The sequence below is a fragment of the Homo sapiens genome, chromosome 8 (genome assembly GCF_000001405.40).
Source record: "Homo sapiens chromosome 8, GRCh38.p14 Primary Assembly".
Taxonomy (NCBI): Eukaryota; Metazoa; Chordata; class Mammalia; order Primates; family Hominidae; genus Homo; species Homo sapiens.
This window is the reverse complement of record NC_000008.11, coordinates 55,927,266-55,944,562: the sequence shown is the minus strand read 5'-3', so window position 1 is coordinate 55,944,562 and position 17,297 is coordinate 55,927,266. Positions and strand designations below refer to the sequence as shown.

Below are 17,297 nucleotides of genomic sequence, written 5' to 3'. Positions count from 1 at the left end.
GTTGCAGTGAGCTGAGATGGTGCCATTGCACTCCAGCCTGGGCAACAAGAGCAAATCTCCACCTCAAAATAAATAAATGAATAAATAAGTGCAAAACGAAAAAACTTGTGTTTTAAAACCTACAAAATCTATAGCATATGGTATGAGAAAAATCAGATCTTTTTTTGAGAACTCTGATGTCTATAAGAAAACTATTTGTGACTCTAATTTCTCTTATTTTATTTTCTATTAATCATATTTATATATGATATGGTTCTATATCTGTACATACTTATGTAATGTTTCTTTCACTGCCTGTAATAGGTTTTTAAATTTTATATTTATAATCACACAATTAAATCTATTAATATTCCTATACATTTTAAGTACATATATTTTCTATATATAAAATTACAATGTTAATTTATCAAGAAACATCATGTATGATAACTTAATAGCATGATATATCCACTCTTTATCTCCACTTCCTTTTTTTTTGGAGACTCTCGCTCTGTAACCCAGGCTGGAGTGCAGTGGCGTGATCTCGGCTCACTGCAACCTCTCCCTCCCGGGTCCTGGTTCAAACAATTCTCCTGCCTCAGCCTCCCAAGTAGCTGGGATTACAGGCATGTGCCACCATGCCCAGCTAATTTTTGTATTTTTAGTAGAGATGGGGTTTCACCATGTTGGCCAGGCTGGTCTTGAACTCCTGACCTCAGGTGATGCACCTGCCTCGGCCTCCCAAAGTGCTGGGATTACAGGCATGAGCCACCGTGCCTGGCCTATCTCCACTTCTTAAGAAGACCGATGTTGATTTCTTTGTCTCAATGATGACATGTGACTTTGATACATGGCAGATATTTCCTACCTTCAGGGTAATGGGGACATATTGAGGGGAGGGCAGGCAGAAAGGTTTGATAATGGGAATATATTTCTAAAACACCTGAGCATTTAAAAACATGTCAGACTAGAGAAACTATAAAAATGCCTTTTTTTTTTTTTTTTTTTGAGACAGAGTCTCGCTCTGTCACCCAGGCTGGAGTGCAGTAGCGCAATCTCGGCTCACTGCAACCTCCACCCTCTGGGTTCAAGCAATTCTTCTTCCTCAGCCTCCCAAGTAGCTGGGACTACAGGCACGCACCACCACACCCGGCTAATTTTTGTACTTTTAGTAGAGCTGAGGTTTCACCATGTTGGCCAGGCTGGTCTCAAACTCCTGACCTTGTGACCTCCCAAAGTACAGGCATGAACCACCATGCCCAGCCTGAAAATTCTTAATAATGGGATTTGGGCTAATCTGGAATAAACTGTTTCCAGCTTAAATGCTGCAGAATTCCATAGAAAGCAGGCTATGGGTGGTATACATGTATACAGTGAGAGAATACATATATGCAAAGGATATAAGCTCGGAAATGAAGTAGATTTCAGGTTATAATTGTTCAAAGCTCTGTTCTTCCTTTCCATAAAATGTGATGTTAGTTCTTTCTTTGCCAAGTATTTCCGAAATACACCAAATAGCACATCACTCATAAAATATTTCTAGTCCAGCTATTTCTCTAAGGTTAGGGGACAGAATTAGAGGTGTTTTTCCTTAATATTTTAATTCACTAAAATAACAGATGACAACTTCAGGATCTGTACTATTTTGAATTAATTGAAGAAATGACAGGACAGGATAAAGTATGATACAACAAAAGACACATTAGCACCTATTTTAGTTTCTGACTTGCATCCCACATTTCCTTTTGCTTCTAAACCACTGAGCTAATCTCACTACATCTTTTTTTTTTTTTTTTTTTGAGACAGAGTCTTGTTCTGTCACCCAGGCTGGAGGGCAGTGGTGCAATCTTGGCTCACTGCAACCTCTGCTTCCCAGGTTCAAGCGATTCTCCTGCCTCAGCCTCCTGAGTAGCTGGGATTACAGGCGCCCGCCACTGTGCCCAGCTAATTTTTGTATTTTTAGTAGAGATGGGGTTTCACTATGTTGGCCAGGCTGGTCTCGAGCTCCTGACCTAGTGATCTGCCCACCTCAGCCTCCCAAAGTGCTGGGATTACAAGCGTGAGCCACCGCGCCCAGCCTCTCACTACTATCTTGAGTCACACAAGCCTATGTATGTATGTGTGTATATATATATATATACACACACACACATATATATATATACACACATATATATACACATATATACACATATATATATACACATATATATACACATATATATACACATATATATACACATATATATATACACATATATATACATATATACACATATATACACACACACATATATATGTGTGTGTATATATATATAGTGGGGTCTTTGCACCAGTAATATGAAAGATGGCTTTCTTCACACAAAAGAATGTGACCAAAGGCCCTTTTAATTGCACAATGAGTGGCCTAGTTATCCCTAAAATATTTATACATTCTTCAAAGGATAAAGTTACAAAGCATATCAAAAATTATTTGAGGACCAAGTAATCAATGGAATTTTTTTGCATGCACATATTACAGACTGGTGTTTAAATTATGTAGCCATGCTTTGATCTTGCTGTGGGAATTCTCCCCTGAGACTATCTACTTACTGGCCTTTGCTGTTTATTGGACGTTGGATCTCTCACATAAATAGTTCTTTCAGTATTACGTACTGGTTGAGTCTTCAAATCTACTCCATCGTCACTCAAGCTGTCTTTCCCTTTTGATTTTATACATCCCATATTTCCTGTTGAAACATAAAAGTAATGACATTGTTTTACCATTCCAGAACTGCTTCAAGCCATCAAAATGTCTCCAATAAAAAAGAGTAGAAAAAATATACTTTTATTCTTTATCATATATAGATTAATAAACTCAAAGTGAATACTGTTCCCAAATAGGTTTGCCTGTCCATTGATTCACTCAACAAATATTTATTGAGCATTAATTTTCCATCACCCAGACAAAATCCAGCTCTAACTCTGCTCGTATTCTTGTGGCAAAGATGTGTAAAGACTCGATGACAGAGGACCCACAGGATCTAAGAAAGGACATGTAACTCAGGCAAGAGGAAAAGGAGGTGGTCAGGGAAAGCTTCCTAAAGGAAATGCTCTGTGAGTTGAAATGGGCGGGATGGCAGCCAGTTTGCAAAGTCAGCAAAGAGATTCCAGGAAGAAGAAACTTCATATGCAACCACCATGAGCTCAAGATAACATGGCCCCTTCAGAGAGCTAGATCAACCTAATCTCTTCAGAAAATGAGCTCTATCTACAACACTAAACACTGCAGTCAAGGAGCAGGTAGGGAAGGTCAGGAGTCAGGGCCAGAGAGGGAGGCACATGCTGGATGTGAAGCTGAGTGGTTGATTTTTTACCCTGAAGACAAATGACACATCCAATCTGCAGTGTGCAAGGTGGAGTGGGGTGGGGGGCCTTGAGACTTCAAGGGCAGGTGATGAAGAGCTAGAATCTGCAGAACCTGGCTCCAGCTAAACATAGGTAGGGGCCTAGGAAGATGGCCTGGCTTTCATCAAGACTGGAAATGAATTGAGGAAACACACTTATGGGAGAGAAGATACTTATGAAAACATTCAGATGATCAAATCCAGTAGGGCTACTGAGTAAGCTACTTGAGTCAGGAAACCAGGAGTACTAGCGCAGGTAAAAGCAAAATGACGGTCTCCGCAAGCCATGCTAGGACAGTGGAGGAAAGCCACCATGGCAAGAAGGGGGCTGGTGCCTGACCAGGGCAGAACAACACACGGTGCACATCTAAACATGAACTCTGTCATCCAGTGATTCCATTAACGCAGGACGGCTGAGCACTACACACGCACTCTGGGGACTGCAAAGGTGATTTTGAACATTTGAATCAGACACAGTTCTTGTCTTACAGTATTGGGTCAAATCTATGCATTAAAAACAAAACAGCCGGGCGCGGTGGCTCAGGCCTGTAATCCCAGCACTTTGTGAAGCCAAGGAAGGCGGATCACGAGGTCAAGAGATGGAGACCATCCTGGCCAACATGGTGAAACCCCATCTCTACTAAATATACAAAAATTAGCTGGGCGTGGTGGCACACGCCTGTAGTCCCAGCTACTCGGGAGGCTGAGGCAGGAGAATCGCTTGAACCCGGCCCGGGGAGGGTGCAGTGAGCCGAGATCGCGCCACTGCACTCCAGCCTGGGCGACAGCAAGACTCCGTCTCAAAAAAATAATAATAATAAATAATAAAAAAATAAAATCTCACAAACTTCATTAGAAGTTGGTTCTCACCGAACAGATTCTCTGGACACTGTCCGGGAAACTCTTCTGGGGCACAGTGGGAGCATGCTGCTCCCCATGTGATGTGTAATTCTGAAGCACTGCCAAATCTGGTGCCTAGGGCTTAGAGTTAAGTCTAGAGGAAGGAGAGATGACAGGAGTTTGGGGAAGGGGGAGAGGTGGTGTGACTAGGCAATATCTCGTGGGGGAGGAATTGTACTAAGAAACCTCAAGAGCTCTTCTGGGAACTCGGCCCTCTCCGGCATCGCTGCCACGCGTCCAGGCCTGCGTTTTTTCCTGCAGGCTTCCAATTGGTCTAGGAACTTCAACTTGTTTATCATTTCATTACTTGAGGTATGAAGCCTCTAAAGAGCAGCCACACCTCTTTCTGAAACTAGCGAGCTGCAGTTCCCAAAATAAAGGGGAAGCAAGTACTTCTTTGATTCAAAACAGCACATTTTTTAATACGCTAAAGTTTCTGAAATGGCCATGGGTTTAGAGTTGATCTCTAAGTAAGCATGGGAGTTCTTTTTTCACCAGTCTCATCCCTCCCACGCCCCGTCACCCTCCCCGAAAAAGCGGTGTTTAACTCACCATCCCTTAAAATCGTGCTTTACAAATGGGCAAATACGTTAATAGCAGCACGAGGACCCTGCGCACGCCGCGAGCTCCGGGGCAGGAGCCCTGCATGGGTGCGGCCAACCCACAGCGCACCGGGCCGCTCGATCCAGCTCCCTCCCAGCACGGACCGAGCCCTGACTGAGCTGTGCCACAACCAGGGCACAGGGAATCCCCTGTCCCCCCCCCACTGCGTTCCTGCAGTTCCCCTGCCCTCGCTGCTCGCTCCAGCGTTCTCTCTCTCTCTCTCTCTCTCTCTTCTCTTGGGAAAAGGAAGGACGGAAACAAAAAGCAGGTGGATGTGGGTGGGGTGGTGACATCCAAGACAGGAAGATCGATAGATGGCCATTTATTTATGCTTAATTTCTTTCCACCATTGTCATGGATAATTTAACATCGAATGTATGCACTGTAAATGAAAAAATTAAAGCCACGTGGAGAATTAGCATGGCCTCACTGCTCAGGCACAGCTGATCTCTGCTCACAAAGTGTTTGGGGTCCCCCATTCAGACACTCTCCCACCAGAAACCTCAACAGAGGTCCTCCATGTGACATGGGGATGAGCAACCCAAACTCAGAACAGGTCTTGCAATTCCTTATGCTGTATGAAAGTACCAGAAATGTAGAAAATACAATATACTCCTGACAAAAACTGAGAGTGGTTACATGTTCCAAGTGATATGAGCTACACTTTACAATGATTTCCACCTTAGTATTCTTCTATTACACATTTATAATATATTGAGCATCTCATTTAATCCTTGAAGAAACCATACGGCCAGATGACTTTACAGAGGAGAAAACTGAGGCTCAGAAAGGTTAAAAGACTCGCGCACAGCATAGCTGGGAGGGGTGAGGCTAAGACTCACTCACACAGGAGTGCGCTCTCAAGTCTAAGTCATAAGCTAAGTCTACAGCCTGGGCTCTTACCACTTTGCCATACAATGGGTATTTTGAAATGCATGTTTCATCTATTTATTAACAATGCCAAACAAAGAGATTATTTTTATAGGCTACCTCTTTCTCAGAGAAAAAAAGCTTTAAAATGTTTTACCACAAAAGAGTCAATAATGAAGTTAATAAAATAAAACCAGAAAACCAGAGCCAAGGCAATGAGAAAAATGCGAATGTGGTAACATTGTAGGGAACAGGTCTGCTGTAACTGACCTGCACATTTGCCCTAGGTTTTCTGGCAAGAAGGGCCAGGGACGTCATGAGTCACAGCAGGAGAGAGGAAGCAGACCAGGTTCCTGATGGGAATGTGTGTCCCCAACAGGAATTCCAAGTTTGCTTATAATGCACTTTATATCAAGTGCTGTGGATGATGTAGTCAGCAGTGCCTTCAAAACCATTTTTTGAACAGTAAATAAAGACATATTTTATGCGTAGAGAATTTGGTTAAAACAAGATAGTAACTGAGGCTTTGACATGCAAATACAACTCTAGTCTGTTCATTGCAAAAGTTTTACAATATGGTCTAAAGAGACACAAACGGCCAGGCAGCCTTTTGATTACAAAGCAACACCCACTGACCCATCCAGAAAATGTGAGGCTGGAGATTTCTCTTTCTATAAAGTCTTTCTTTCATTGGAATGAATATCCATTAGGGGTGGCTCATCCTCATTCAAGAGCCTTAGAATATTAGAAGAGTGATTTTAATCCCTCTTTTATTTTATTCCCAGACTCTGGGATAATTTTTTGGTTTTTAAAAATCACTCTTACCTTGGCCAGGTGTGGTGGCTCACAAGTGTAATCCCAGAACTTTGGGAGGCCGAGGCGGGTGGATCATCTGAGGTCAGGGGTTCGAGACTGGCCTGGCCAACATGATGAAACTCTGTCTCTACTAAAAAACACAAAAATTAGCCGGGTGTGGTGGCACCCGTCTGTAGTCCCAGCTTCTCAGGAGCCTGAGGCAGGAGAATCCCTTGAGCCTGGGAGGCAGAGGTTGCAGTAAGCCAAGATTGTTGTGCCACTGCACTCCAGCCTGGGTGACAGAGCAAGACTCCATCAAAAAAACAAAACAAAACAAAACAAAACTCACTCTTACCAGAGGCAGTAGGGTTTTGGTTTCATAAAATCTAGCAATGCCTTACCATTATCCAGCTGTTCAACAAAGATGCAATCTTGCATTGGAATTCCACTTCTTGAAATTTGTTCTTTAAATACACTGCACAGGGGCATAAGGATGTTCCCGCTAGCATGACTTATAGTAGAGACAATCTAGATGTCCTCATTAGGGGTTAGTTCTTTAAGTTAGAACAAAGTGACACATTATGAGTGGGTTAAAAAGAGAGATTTGTATATTTGGACATTCTTAATCAAACAATCAAGAATTGCTGATTGAAAAAATTATATATACATATTTAAATTAGGCTGTTGCAAAAGTAATTGCGGTTTTTGCCAATTACTTTTGCACCAACCTAATATATGTACACAATCCATATATATGTATATATATTTAATGTCCACAGGAAAAAAATCTAAGAGGACATCCACCACCTTGTTGGTTAGGTTCTAAAGTCCACTTGTGAGGTAAAAGATCCTGTATAGAAATTTTGTATTGAAATTCCTAAAGAAGACACTATACAATTCACAACATATTCTGAAGTAAGGACTATGGAGTTGGATTGCTGAAGTCAACTGCTGGGTCTATTGCCTGACTTTGCAATATCAACTGGTCACCCACCTAAAGCAAACAGAGTAGCTATAAATGTCTATGAGGGTCAGAGACAAAAGACGTGGGGGGTAGAAAAGGGATAAACACGTATGTGCCTACTTTGTCCCTGGTACTTTGTGTATGAGGAAAGTAAAACCCAGAGATGAACCTGTGCTAGGTAATCAAAGGTCTCAGGTACAACCGGAACTTGGTCTGGCTTCAAAGCTGTACTTTTTCTTTTTTTGTTGCTTTTATTATTTTTAATGTATTATTTCTTTGTGTTGGGAACATTCAAAATTTGCTCTTCCGGCTATTTGGAATATACAATACATTGTCTTTAATTATAGTCACCCTACAGTGCTGTAGAACCTAGAATCTATTCCTTCTATCTAAAAGCTGCACTTCTTTTTTGTTTGTTTGTTTTTTGAGATGGAGTCTCACTCTGTCACCCAGGCTGGAGTGCAATGGCGCGATCTCTGCTCACTGCAAACTCTGCCTCCCGGGCCCAAGCAATTCTTCTGCCTCAGCCTCCCAGGTAGCTGGGATTACAGGTGCCCACCACCACACCTGGCTAACTTTTGTGTTTTTAGTAGAGACAGGGTTTCACCATATTGGCCAGGCTGGTCTCGAACTCCTGACCTCAGGTGATCCTCCCACGTGAGCCTCCCAAAGTGCTGGGATTATAGGAATGAGCCACCACGCCCAGCCTAAAAGCTGCACTTCTTTACTGATGCAAGGTCTTGCTGCCTTTCTGTGGAGGAAGCTCCAGATCCATGAGTTTTCTGAATTAGAGAGCTTAGAAAGACATGAGGAAGAGAAAGGAAGCCTGGGGAAATAGAGGTGGGTGGTGTCTATCTGAAACAAAAGTGATCTTGAGTTTCAAATTAGGTCCAAGACTGGTTCAAGCATCATTTATAGGAATTCGTCCCTAAAAGTATGTTCCCTACACACTTGCATTCCAGTATCAGTTCTATAACTCAAGAGATTTACTTTGCCCACCAACACAGAAACCTTTAGATACCCTTTAATTGTCCTTCTTACTTTACTTTCGGAAAGGAGACTCAGATTAGAGAAACAAAGTCTTCAGAAGAGTTGAATGCTTTCTCCAAACTGCTTATCAAAGTGACATGGGGACACAATAGCCTGGTTGGCAGCCTCAACAGTGCTGGAGAGACTTGGTGAGGGCACTAGCACTAAGCTCCACCACCAACTCCATTAATTCCCAACTCAAGCAGTTCAGTCTTGCATCAATTTTCCCAAATTCCTGTTTTTTTTTTTTTTTTTTTGGATGGAGTCTCCCTCTGTTGCCCAGGCTGGAGTGCAGTGGTGCGATCTCGGCTCACTGCAACCTCTGCCTCCTGGGTTCAAGCGATTCTCCTGCCTCAGCCTCCTGAGTAGCAAGTAGTGGGGACTACAGGCGTCCGCCACCAAGCATGGCTAATTTTTGTATTTTTAGTACAGACAGGGTTTCACCATGTTGGCCAGGCTGGTCTCCAACTCCTGATCTCAGGTGATACACCCGCCTCGGCCTCCCAAAGTGCTGGGATTACAGGCGTGAGCCACTGCACCCAGCACCTAAATCACTTTTAAAAGAGAGAGAACTGAAAAGGACCTAGCCAGACCGTCTTTATTTAAACAACTAAGATTTTTTGCCTTACATACCATGGTCATTATTTTCAAACATTCTCCAATATTTTTCCTCAATAAAATCTCCCAGCAGCCAGGGTGGGCACAGTTGGTGAGCTGGTAACCCGGGCTGGCCAAGCTGCATAGCACGGCTTTCTCTATCTGACCAGCCTGCAACATAAGGCCCTACTTAAGGCTTTTTCAGTTTGCTTTTGTTTTTGTTTTTTTTCTTTAGGCAACCTAACATTATGAATGTAACTCCCTAAGGTTTAAATGTCATGTGTAATAGGAACAGTGTTTGGGGGCAATTAAGGCAATGCTGTTTCGGTGCCGGGAATCCCTCAGATCACAGAGCTGCCTCCATGGTGTGGGCGTCACCTCTAGGCTATGACCATGGCCCGTGGAGCTGCTTCCGTCCATGGTGTGGGCATCACCTCCACCACAGAGCTGCTTCGATGGTTAGGTGTCAGCTCCTGTCTGTGACTAAGGTGAGCCATCAGGCTCCCCCTAGAAGGGAGGAGGATATGATTTAGGAGAAGTGAGAAAGAGGTGTCTGAAGGAGTGTTGGAAAGAGTAAAGACTGGGATAGAACCTGTGTCCAAGGTGCCTGCCAGCCTCCATTCACTTTGACTATTGAGGGTCAATTGGGAAAGGGGGGTGAGGTGGGAAGTGGGTTTAAGACTAGCTAGCTAGTTACAGGGTGCACCCCCCTCAACACAGGAGGGATGTCTCTGGGTCTGAATAAGGAGTTGGCTCTTCTCTTCTCTTCATGTCTCATGCAGGGTTGAGCACTGAGGAAAGGGGTGTCAAGACAAAACAGCCAGATGCTGTCCCAGGGCTCCCCTCATTCTGCCTGTCAAGGTTTCCAGGAGATCCACAAGTTTCCCAGTTGCATGCACTTGCACGGTGGGTGTCCATTTAACATCCCTCGAATCAGCAGTGCCCAGTCAAATCTTAGCGGGCCGGTGAACGGCATACACAGAATATGGAGAGAACCTATGGCTTCTTTCTACCAAACAGCACAGCAGCAACCCTGTACCTACCTAAACACAAGATTGCAAAGGAGTAGCGGGTAAGAAGAAGAAACAGTAATGATGGAAGACAGACTACATTTGAAAAGATTCAAACCCTGTTGGCAAACTTAAGCTGTTTGCCAACTTCTTTTTATCTTCTGTTTGCTGTGTTTACCTGATTTGAAGCTCCTTCTTTTTTTTTGAGACGGATCTCGCTCTGTCGCCCAGGCTGGAGTGCAATGGCACAATCTCGGCTCACTGCAACCTCTGCCTCCTGGGTTCAAGCGATTCTCCTGCCTCAGCCTCCTGAGTAGCTGGGACTACAGGCGCTCGCCACCATGCCTGGCTAATTTTTGTACTTTTAGTAAAGATGGGGTTTCACCATATTGGCCAGGCTGGTCTCGAACTCCTGACCTTGTGATCCGCCCGCCTTGGCCTCCCAAAGTGCTGGGATTACAGGTGTGAGCCACTGCGCCTGGCCAAAGCTCCTTCTTTATTATTTGCCACAAGACATAAGCACAGCCGTAGGTAGACCCAGGGTCATCTAGTTATCCACAATGTGAAGGGGCAGCAGCACTGGGCACAGTTTTAATCACTGCATTTACTAGAATGTTTCCAGAAAAGAATTGCAAGACAATTAAAGAGGTATATGGAAGATTGGCATCTAGAACAGAGAAACTGAAAGGGAAATGTGGCTCTGCCTGGAAGGGAGTGCAAAGAGGATAATGAGACAGTGTTGAACTCAGGAAGCCTGTCTGTGGAGTCCAGCCTTGACAGTCCTGTAATTATCGACAAAACCACTCTTTTCTCTGGACTGTAATTGCCTCACCATAAAATGAAATCACTGGGCTTGGCATGAGAGGATAAGTGATACAATCTTTAACTTGACAGTACATATTAAACTCCGTTAGAATGTACACACTTCTTAACCCAACATGACCACTTCTTGGAATAAATTACTTATAAGAAAATAACTGGGGGCTACACAAAGTTCTATACAAGAGAATACTTATTGTGGGACTGTTTGGAATACCATATAGAAATAGGCTTGTTTGTCAAATTATAGGTCACTGGTTAAATAAATGCAGATCAGCTCTCAAAATTCACATCACCAAAGCCAGTTCTGTGAGGGTTTTCAACTTACAAGATGATCAGTTCACCAAAATTGGTATCTTTTAATTATTTCAGATTTACGTAATGTCATATTAGATGGGATAGTTTTAACAGCTTAAGTTTATAACAGTTGGTATTAGTTGTGGTGCTTTCATAGCTTAAGAGTATAGTAATTCTTTTTTAAAAATAATTTCAACTTTTATTTTAGGTTCAGGAATACATGTGCAGGTTTGTTACATGGGTATGTTGCAAGATGCTGAGGTTTGGGGTACAGATGATCCCACCATCCAGGTAGTGAGCATAGTACCAAATAGTTTTTTGGTGAATGTCTCCCCTTCTCCCTCCCCCACTTTAGTAGTCTCCCGTGTCTATTGCTCCTATCTTTACATCCATATGTATTCAATGCCTAGCTCCCATTCATAAGTGAGAGCCTGCAATTTGGTTTTCTGTTCCTGCATTAATTCACTTAGGATAATGGCTTCCAGCTGCATCCATGTTGCTGCCCAGGACATGATTTCATTTTTTATGGCTGTGTAGTATTCCCTGGTATATAAATGCGAGTATAATAATTCTTATCAAATATAATTGTTTTAGGCCTGGTGTGGTGGCTCATGCCTGTAATCCCAGCACTTTGGGAGGCCCGGGCAGGAGGATCACCTGAGGTTAGGAGTTCGAGACCAGCCTGGCCAACATGGCGAAACCCTGTCTCTACTAAAAATACAAAAATTAGCCAGGCGTGGTGGTGCATGCTTGTGATCCCAGCTACTCAGGAGCTGAGGCAGGAGAATTGCTTGAACTTGAGAGGTGGAGGTTGCTGTGAGCCAAGATAGCACCACTGTACTCCAGGATGGGCAAAAGAGTGAGGCTCCATCTAAAAAAAAACAAAAACAAACAAACAAAAAATATATATATAATTGTTTTAAAAGATTTTGACAAATGTTCTATTTTTTAGAAAGCTAAGGATTATTGAGTCTTCTTAGAACTATATTAATCTGTCACTAGTAATTAGTAGCTTAAGTTTAATGTGAGATATGGTTGTTTCTGTAGTTTCCTAATTCACTTCTTGCTTTACCTCTCCTTACATTTTTAGAATTTTAATTTTTAAAAAATTCTTCAACCTTAATGTCATCTTTTATTACATTTGAGATTCAAGTCTTCTGCTTCTTTCTGGTATCCCTATGCACAGGAACACTTCCTTTCCTTATTTCAGGATGGTTCTATCCTTTCAACTCAAATGGTTTTGCAAACAGCTGCCAGGTTAACACATCCTAATTTCACCTTCTCAGAAACTAAAGTTTAAGCATGTCATATGTGTTGGAAATGATTTGGTCACTTACAATTTCTTTTTGAGGCTTATAAATTTAAATTTTATTTTTTCTAATTGCAGAAACAATGTTGATATGTCATTTGAAGAACTAGCAAAAGCACATTAAAAATGCATAAAGTTTTTTAAATAAAAATAATATTCAAGTAGTTAAAAGAAACAAGTCTTCTGGTACGGTGTAACATTTGAGAAAACATCAAATTGCCCTTCTGGTAACTGGCTTTTGGAAAATTGATCTAGAACATGATACTTCAACACAAAAGAATACTAAGTGACTATTAAATTTTAATACATATATATTTATTGACATAAAAAGATATTCACAATATATTTAAGTGAAAAAATGTAAAAACAGTATATATAGCATGATATCATTTTGTGAGGGAAAAGGTACAAATGAATAGAAAAAAGTCTGAAAAGAAATAGGCTAAACTACCGCAATGTTCATCTACAGCTATTTTTGGTTTTGCCCTTGCAAATTTTTAATTTTCCCATCATATATACCTTATTTAAAAGGTATATTTTATATACATATATGTATAATTTTATATATGTATAAAATCAGAGTTTCGAGGCCCTTAGGTTTTGTGCTCAGTTCCCCTTAGTCTAAAATTTTAAAAATGTTTTCCATTGTGTACAAATTATGTATACAAGTATCAATGTATTTTATTATAATACATAATACATAGACAAGTTATACATGTACATATAGTACAATAGGTAAACAATATACATATTTATGTACAACATAAGGTTATGTATAGGATACATTACATATAATATGTGCTATGTACGAGTTACATATTATATTTTAAAATATAATATATTTTATTTAAAAATATAATATATTTTATTATATATAAAAAGTAACATATACAAGTTATATATATATAACTTATATATATATACACACACGTATATGTATATGACAGAAAAATAAAAAAGTTTTTAAAATTTTGAAGCAAAATAAGATAATCTGAACCCATGGCCTAAGGTCCTTCAAACTCTAATTGTCCGTGGGAGTAAGAACTTAGAGAGTAGCCATGCATGGGGGCTCACATCTCTAATCCCAGTGCACTGGAGGCCAAGCTGGGAGGATTACTGGAGCCTAAGAGTTTGGGGCTTCAGTGTGAGGTAAAAGAAACAGGCCCTGCCAAGGTCCTGGGATGAGCTGATGGCCACAGCAGGAGCTGGTATGACCGGAATGAAGCCAGCAGGGGGAGGAGGAAGAGGCAAGACCAGGTCTTGGTCCCCCATCAACATGCTGCAAGAAGCCTCCACCACGTGCCGCATCCCCATTTGCATAACTCTTAGTTGAGCAATTTCACACAGAGGAAGACAACAGGGCATTGCTGAAACAAGTGGGGTTTTTTGGTTTTGTTTCTCTTAACAATAAAAGGGAACACTATGAAAACAAGATGAGCTCATGGAAACTTACGTAAGGTAGGGAAATAGACCATTTAAAGGACCAGAAGGGGACATTCAAAGCAGAGTCTGAATTATGTATATCCAGCCAACCAAGGAGAGTTATTAAACATCAACTTTGTTTCCAGATTCAGATTTTTATGATCAACAATCCAGCCACCCATATTCAGAAATACATATAATAGTGTATTTATGTCCCACTTTAAGAGTTGTCAGCTTATCTAAATGCATGTAACATAATAGAAATTATTATGAAATTACAAAAAAGTGAAACTCAGCTCAAGACACCTAAAAGAAGTGGAATGTTGTATCACACCATAAGCTTCTGCTGCTTATTAGCTATAGATGGCAAATCATCAGGAGTCTAGGTTAGCTAGAGCAGTGGTCCCCAACCTTTTTAGCATCCGTGACTGGTTTCATGGAAGGCAATTTTTCCACAGAGCGGGGTCAGGTGGGGGGTGGTGGTTTCAGGATGAAACTGTTTCACAAGGAGCACATAACTTAGATCCCTCACATGTGCAGTTCACGATGGGGTTCACGCCCCTATGAGAATCTACTATGGCGCTGATCTGACAGGAGACAGAGTTCAGGCAGTAATGCTTGCTCAACTGCTGTTCACCTCCTGCTGTGTGGCCCAGTTCCTAACAGGCCACAGACCAGTACCAGTCCATGGCCCAGGGGTTGGGGATGCCTGATCTAGAGGACAAGGCAAAGAGGAAAACATATCCATGGATATAAATAAATCTGCTTCTCTACAACAGGGTTTGTCAACCTCAGCACTACTGACATTTCAAGCCAGAAAATTATTTGTTCTAGAGGACAGTTCTGTGTATTGTAGGATACTTAGCAGCATCCTTGGCCTCTACCCACTGGATGCCAGTAGCACCTCTCCAGGCCTCCCAGCTACCAGTTGTGACAACCAAAAATGTCTTCAAACATTGCCAAATATCCCCTTATGAAAGCTTCATGCCAGGAAATCTGATGTTTTAATTGCTGGTAATAACTCAATTATTGATATTTTCTGTTACAGATTGGGGCAAAATATGCTTTCTTACTCATTCATGAATGTTAAGTTTAATATCCTGTTATAAAATGTAAAGGACATAACCAGAAATCACATCTGCCACTATGCCTGTACACACACAGACAGACACAAAGACACATACACAGATCTGGTAGCTGTTGAAACAGATCCAGAGATTTTCTATGAGAAAAGCATCATCCCGACTGTATTCTTAGTCTCACTAAGTCTTAGTCTCACTTAGTCTCACTAATCTCACGCAGTAAAGATGGAAGAAACAGTAAGAAGGATCTATTCTACGGATCCCTGCTTCTCATGAGGAAACTAAGAGTCAAAGACAAACCAAGATTAGCTACAAATAGATTTTATCTTCACTGAAAGTAACAAAAAGACTCAGTACATATGAATAGAATAAACAGCCCAGAAATAGAACCACACAAATATAGTCAACTGATCTTTCAAAAAGAGCAAAGACAATTCAACACTGAAAGGATATTTTTTTCAATAAGTGGTACTGGAACAACTGTATATCCACATGTAAGTAAATAAATAAGTATGTAAATAAATAATCTAGACCCGGATCTTACATCTATTACAAAAATCAACCCAAAATGAATCACAGACCTAAAGGAAAAACAAAAAACTATAAAACTCCTAGGAGATAACATAGGAGAAAAGCTAGATGACCTTGGGTTTGGTGATGACATTTTACATACAACATCAAAATGATCCATGATCATGAAAGAAAAAATGATCCATGAAAGAAAAAATGATCCATGAAAGAAAAAATTATAAATTGAACTTCATTAAAATCTAAAACTTCTGCTCTGTGAAAGACACTTTCTTAAGAAAATAAAAAGACAAGCCACAGATTAAAATAAAATCTTTGCAAAATATATATCTAATAAAGGAATGGTATCTGAAATAGACAAAGAACTCTTAAAATCAATAATAAGAAAACAAACAACCTGATTTTTAAAATGGGCAACAGATCTGAATAGACACCTCACCAAAGAAGAGCTACAGATGGCAAATAAGTACATGAAAAGATGCTCCATATCATATGTCACCTGGGAATTGCAAATTAAAGCAACAATGGGCCCTGCGTGGTGGCTCATGACTGTAATCCCAGCACTTTGGGAGGCCAAGGTCGGCGGATCACCTGAGGTCAGGAGTTGGAGACCAGCCTGGCCAACATGGTGAAACCCCATCTCTACTAAAAATACAAAAACTAGCCGGGCGTGGTGGCGCTTGCCTATAGTCCCAGCTACTCCAGAGGGTGAAGCATGAGAATCACTTGAACTCAGGAGGCGGAGGTTGCAGTGAGCTGAGATTGCACCACTGCTTTCCAGCCTGGGCAACAGAGCGAGATTCTGTCTCAAACAAAACGAACAAACCAAGCAACAATGAGATATACTCTACTACTATATACCTATTAAACAGGAAAAATCTAAAACACTGACTACACCAAATGCTGGCAAAGAGGCAGAGCAACAGATACTCCAATTCATTGCTGGGGAACATAAAATGACCCAACCATTCTGGAAGACAGTCTTGCAGTTTCTTATAAAACTAAACAATACCCTTACCATATGACCCAACAACTGTGCCCCTTGATTTTTACCCAAGTGAGTTGAAAACGTATGTACACACAAAAACCTGCACATAGATGTTTATAGCAGCTTTCTTTCTTTTTTTTTTCCCCCTTGGGACAGAGTCTCGCTCTGTCACCCAGGCAGGGGTACAGTGGTGTGATCTTGGCTCACTGTAACCTCTGCCTCCCAGGTTCAAAAAATTCTCCTGCCTCAGTCTCCTGAGTAGCTGGGCATTACAGGCACCCGCCACCACACACAGCTAATTTTTGTATTTTTAATAGAGACAGGGTTTCACCATGTTGGCCAGGCTGGTCTCGAACTCCTGACTGCAAGTGATCCGCCTGCCTCTGCCTCCCAAAGTGCTGGGATTACAGACGTGAACCACCGCACCTGGCCAGCAGCTTTATTCCTAATTGACAAAACTTGGAAGCTACTGAGATGACCTTCATTAGGTGAATGGATAAATAAAATATTTATCCATTTTATATCCAGACAACAGAACACTATTCAGTGCTTAAAAGAAATAAGCTATCAACCATGAAAGGACATAGAGGAACCTTAAATGCATATTACTAAGTGAAAGAAGCCAATCTGAAAAGGCTACATACTGTGTGATTCCAACCGTATGACACTCTGGAAAAGGTAAAACTATGGAGACACTAAAAAGATCAGTGGTTGCCAGA

At 41.3% G+C, this 17,297-nt stretch overlaps 1 protein-coding gene across 3 annotated transcripts in view, besides 9 other annotated features; it reads right to left on the bottom strand.

The window, feature by feature from the left end:
- The window catches only part of LYN (LYN proto-oncogene, Src family tyrosine kinase), a 134,335-nt gene that overhangs the window by 69,607 nt on the left and 47,431 nt on the right, over positions 1-17,297 (bottom strand). The window contains exon 2 of one of the 3 annotated variants that reach the window (NM_002350.4): positions 2,572-2,708. The exons of 1 other annotated variant lie outside the window; for it this stretch is intronic. In NM_002350.4, coding sequence (NP_002341.1) covers positions 2,572-2,703 — 132 coding nt within the window. In that variant the 5' untranslated portion in view covers positions 2,704-2,708. The remainder of the gene's footprint in view (positions 1-2,571; positions 2,709-17,297) is intronic. One more of the 3 variants, NM_001111097.3, reaches the window with a different exon arrangement.
- Positions 4,303-4,372: an enhancer, noted in NCBI's record as "active region_27392". NCBI's record gives its function as "activates an Ori minimal core promoter by ATAC-STARR-seq in GM12878 lymphoblastoid cells {active_cell/tissue: GM12878}" and the evidence as "EXISTENCE:reporter gene assay evidence [ECO:0000049][PMID:35858748]".
- Positions 4,501-5,016: an enhancer, noted in NCBI's record as "H3K27ac-H3K4me1 hESC enhancer chr8:56852106-56852621 (GRCh37/hg19 assembly coordinates)". NCBI's record gives its function as "activates a minimal SCP1, AML or CMV promoter by ChIP-STARR-seq in primed H9 embryonic stem cells {active_cell/tissue: H9 hESC(primed)}" and the evidence as "EXISTENCE:reporter gene assay evidence [ECO:0000049][PMID:30033119]".
- Positions 4,733-4,892: an enhancer, noted in NCBI's record as "active region_27391". NCBI's record gives its function as "activates an Ori minimal core promoter by ATAC-STARR-seq in GM12878 lymphoblastoid cells {active_cell/tissue: GM12878}" and the evidence as "EXISTENCE:reporter gene assay evidence [ECO:0000049][PMID:35858748]".
- Positions 9,438-9,487: an enhancer, noted in NCBI's record as "active region_27390". NCBI's record gives its function as "activates an Ori minimal core promoter by ATAC-STARR-seq in GM12878 lymphoblastoid cells {active_cell/tissue: GM12878}" and the evidence as "EXISTENCE:reporter gene assay evidence [ECO:0000049][PMID:35858748]".
- Positions 9,858-9,917: a silencer, noted in NCBI's record as "silent region_19208". NCBI's record gives its function as "represses an Ori minimal core promoter by ATAC-STARR-seq in GM12878 lymphoblastoid cells {active_cell/tissue: GM12878}" and the evidence as "EXISTENCE:reporter gene assay evidence [ECO:0000049][PMID:35858748]".
- Positions 13,501-14,039: an enhancer, noted in NCBI's record as "OCT4-NANOG hESC enhancer chr8:56843083-56843621 (GRCh37/hg19 assembly coordinates)". NCBI's record gives its function as "activates a minimal SCP1, AML or CMV promoter by ChIP-STARR-seq in naive H9 embryonic stem cells {active_cell/tissue: H9 hESC(naive)}" and the evidence as "EXISTENCE:reporter gene assay evidence [ECO:0000049][PMID:30033119]".
- Positions 13,501-14,129: a biological region, named in NCBI's record as "OCT4-NANOG hESC enhancer GRCh37_chr8:56843083-56843621".
- Positions 13,940-14,129: an enhancer, noted in NCBI's record as "active region_27389". NCBI's record gives its function as "activates an Ori minimal core promoter by ATAC-STARR-seq in GM12878 lymphoblastoid cells {active_cell/tissue: GM12878}" and the evidence as "EXISTENCE:reporter gene assay evidence [ECO:0000049][PMID:35858748]".
- Positions 14,325-14,484: an enhancer, noted in NCBI's record as "active region_27388". NCBI's record gives its function as "activates an Ori minimal core promoter by ATAC-STARR-seq in GM12878 lymphoblastoid cells {active_cell/tissue: GM12878}" and the evidence as "EXISTENCE:reporter gene assay evidence [ECO:0000049][PMID:35858748]".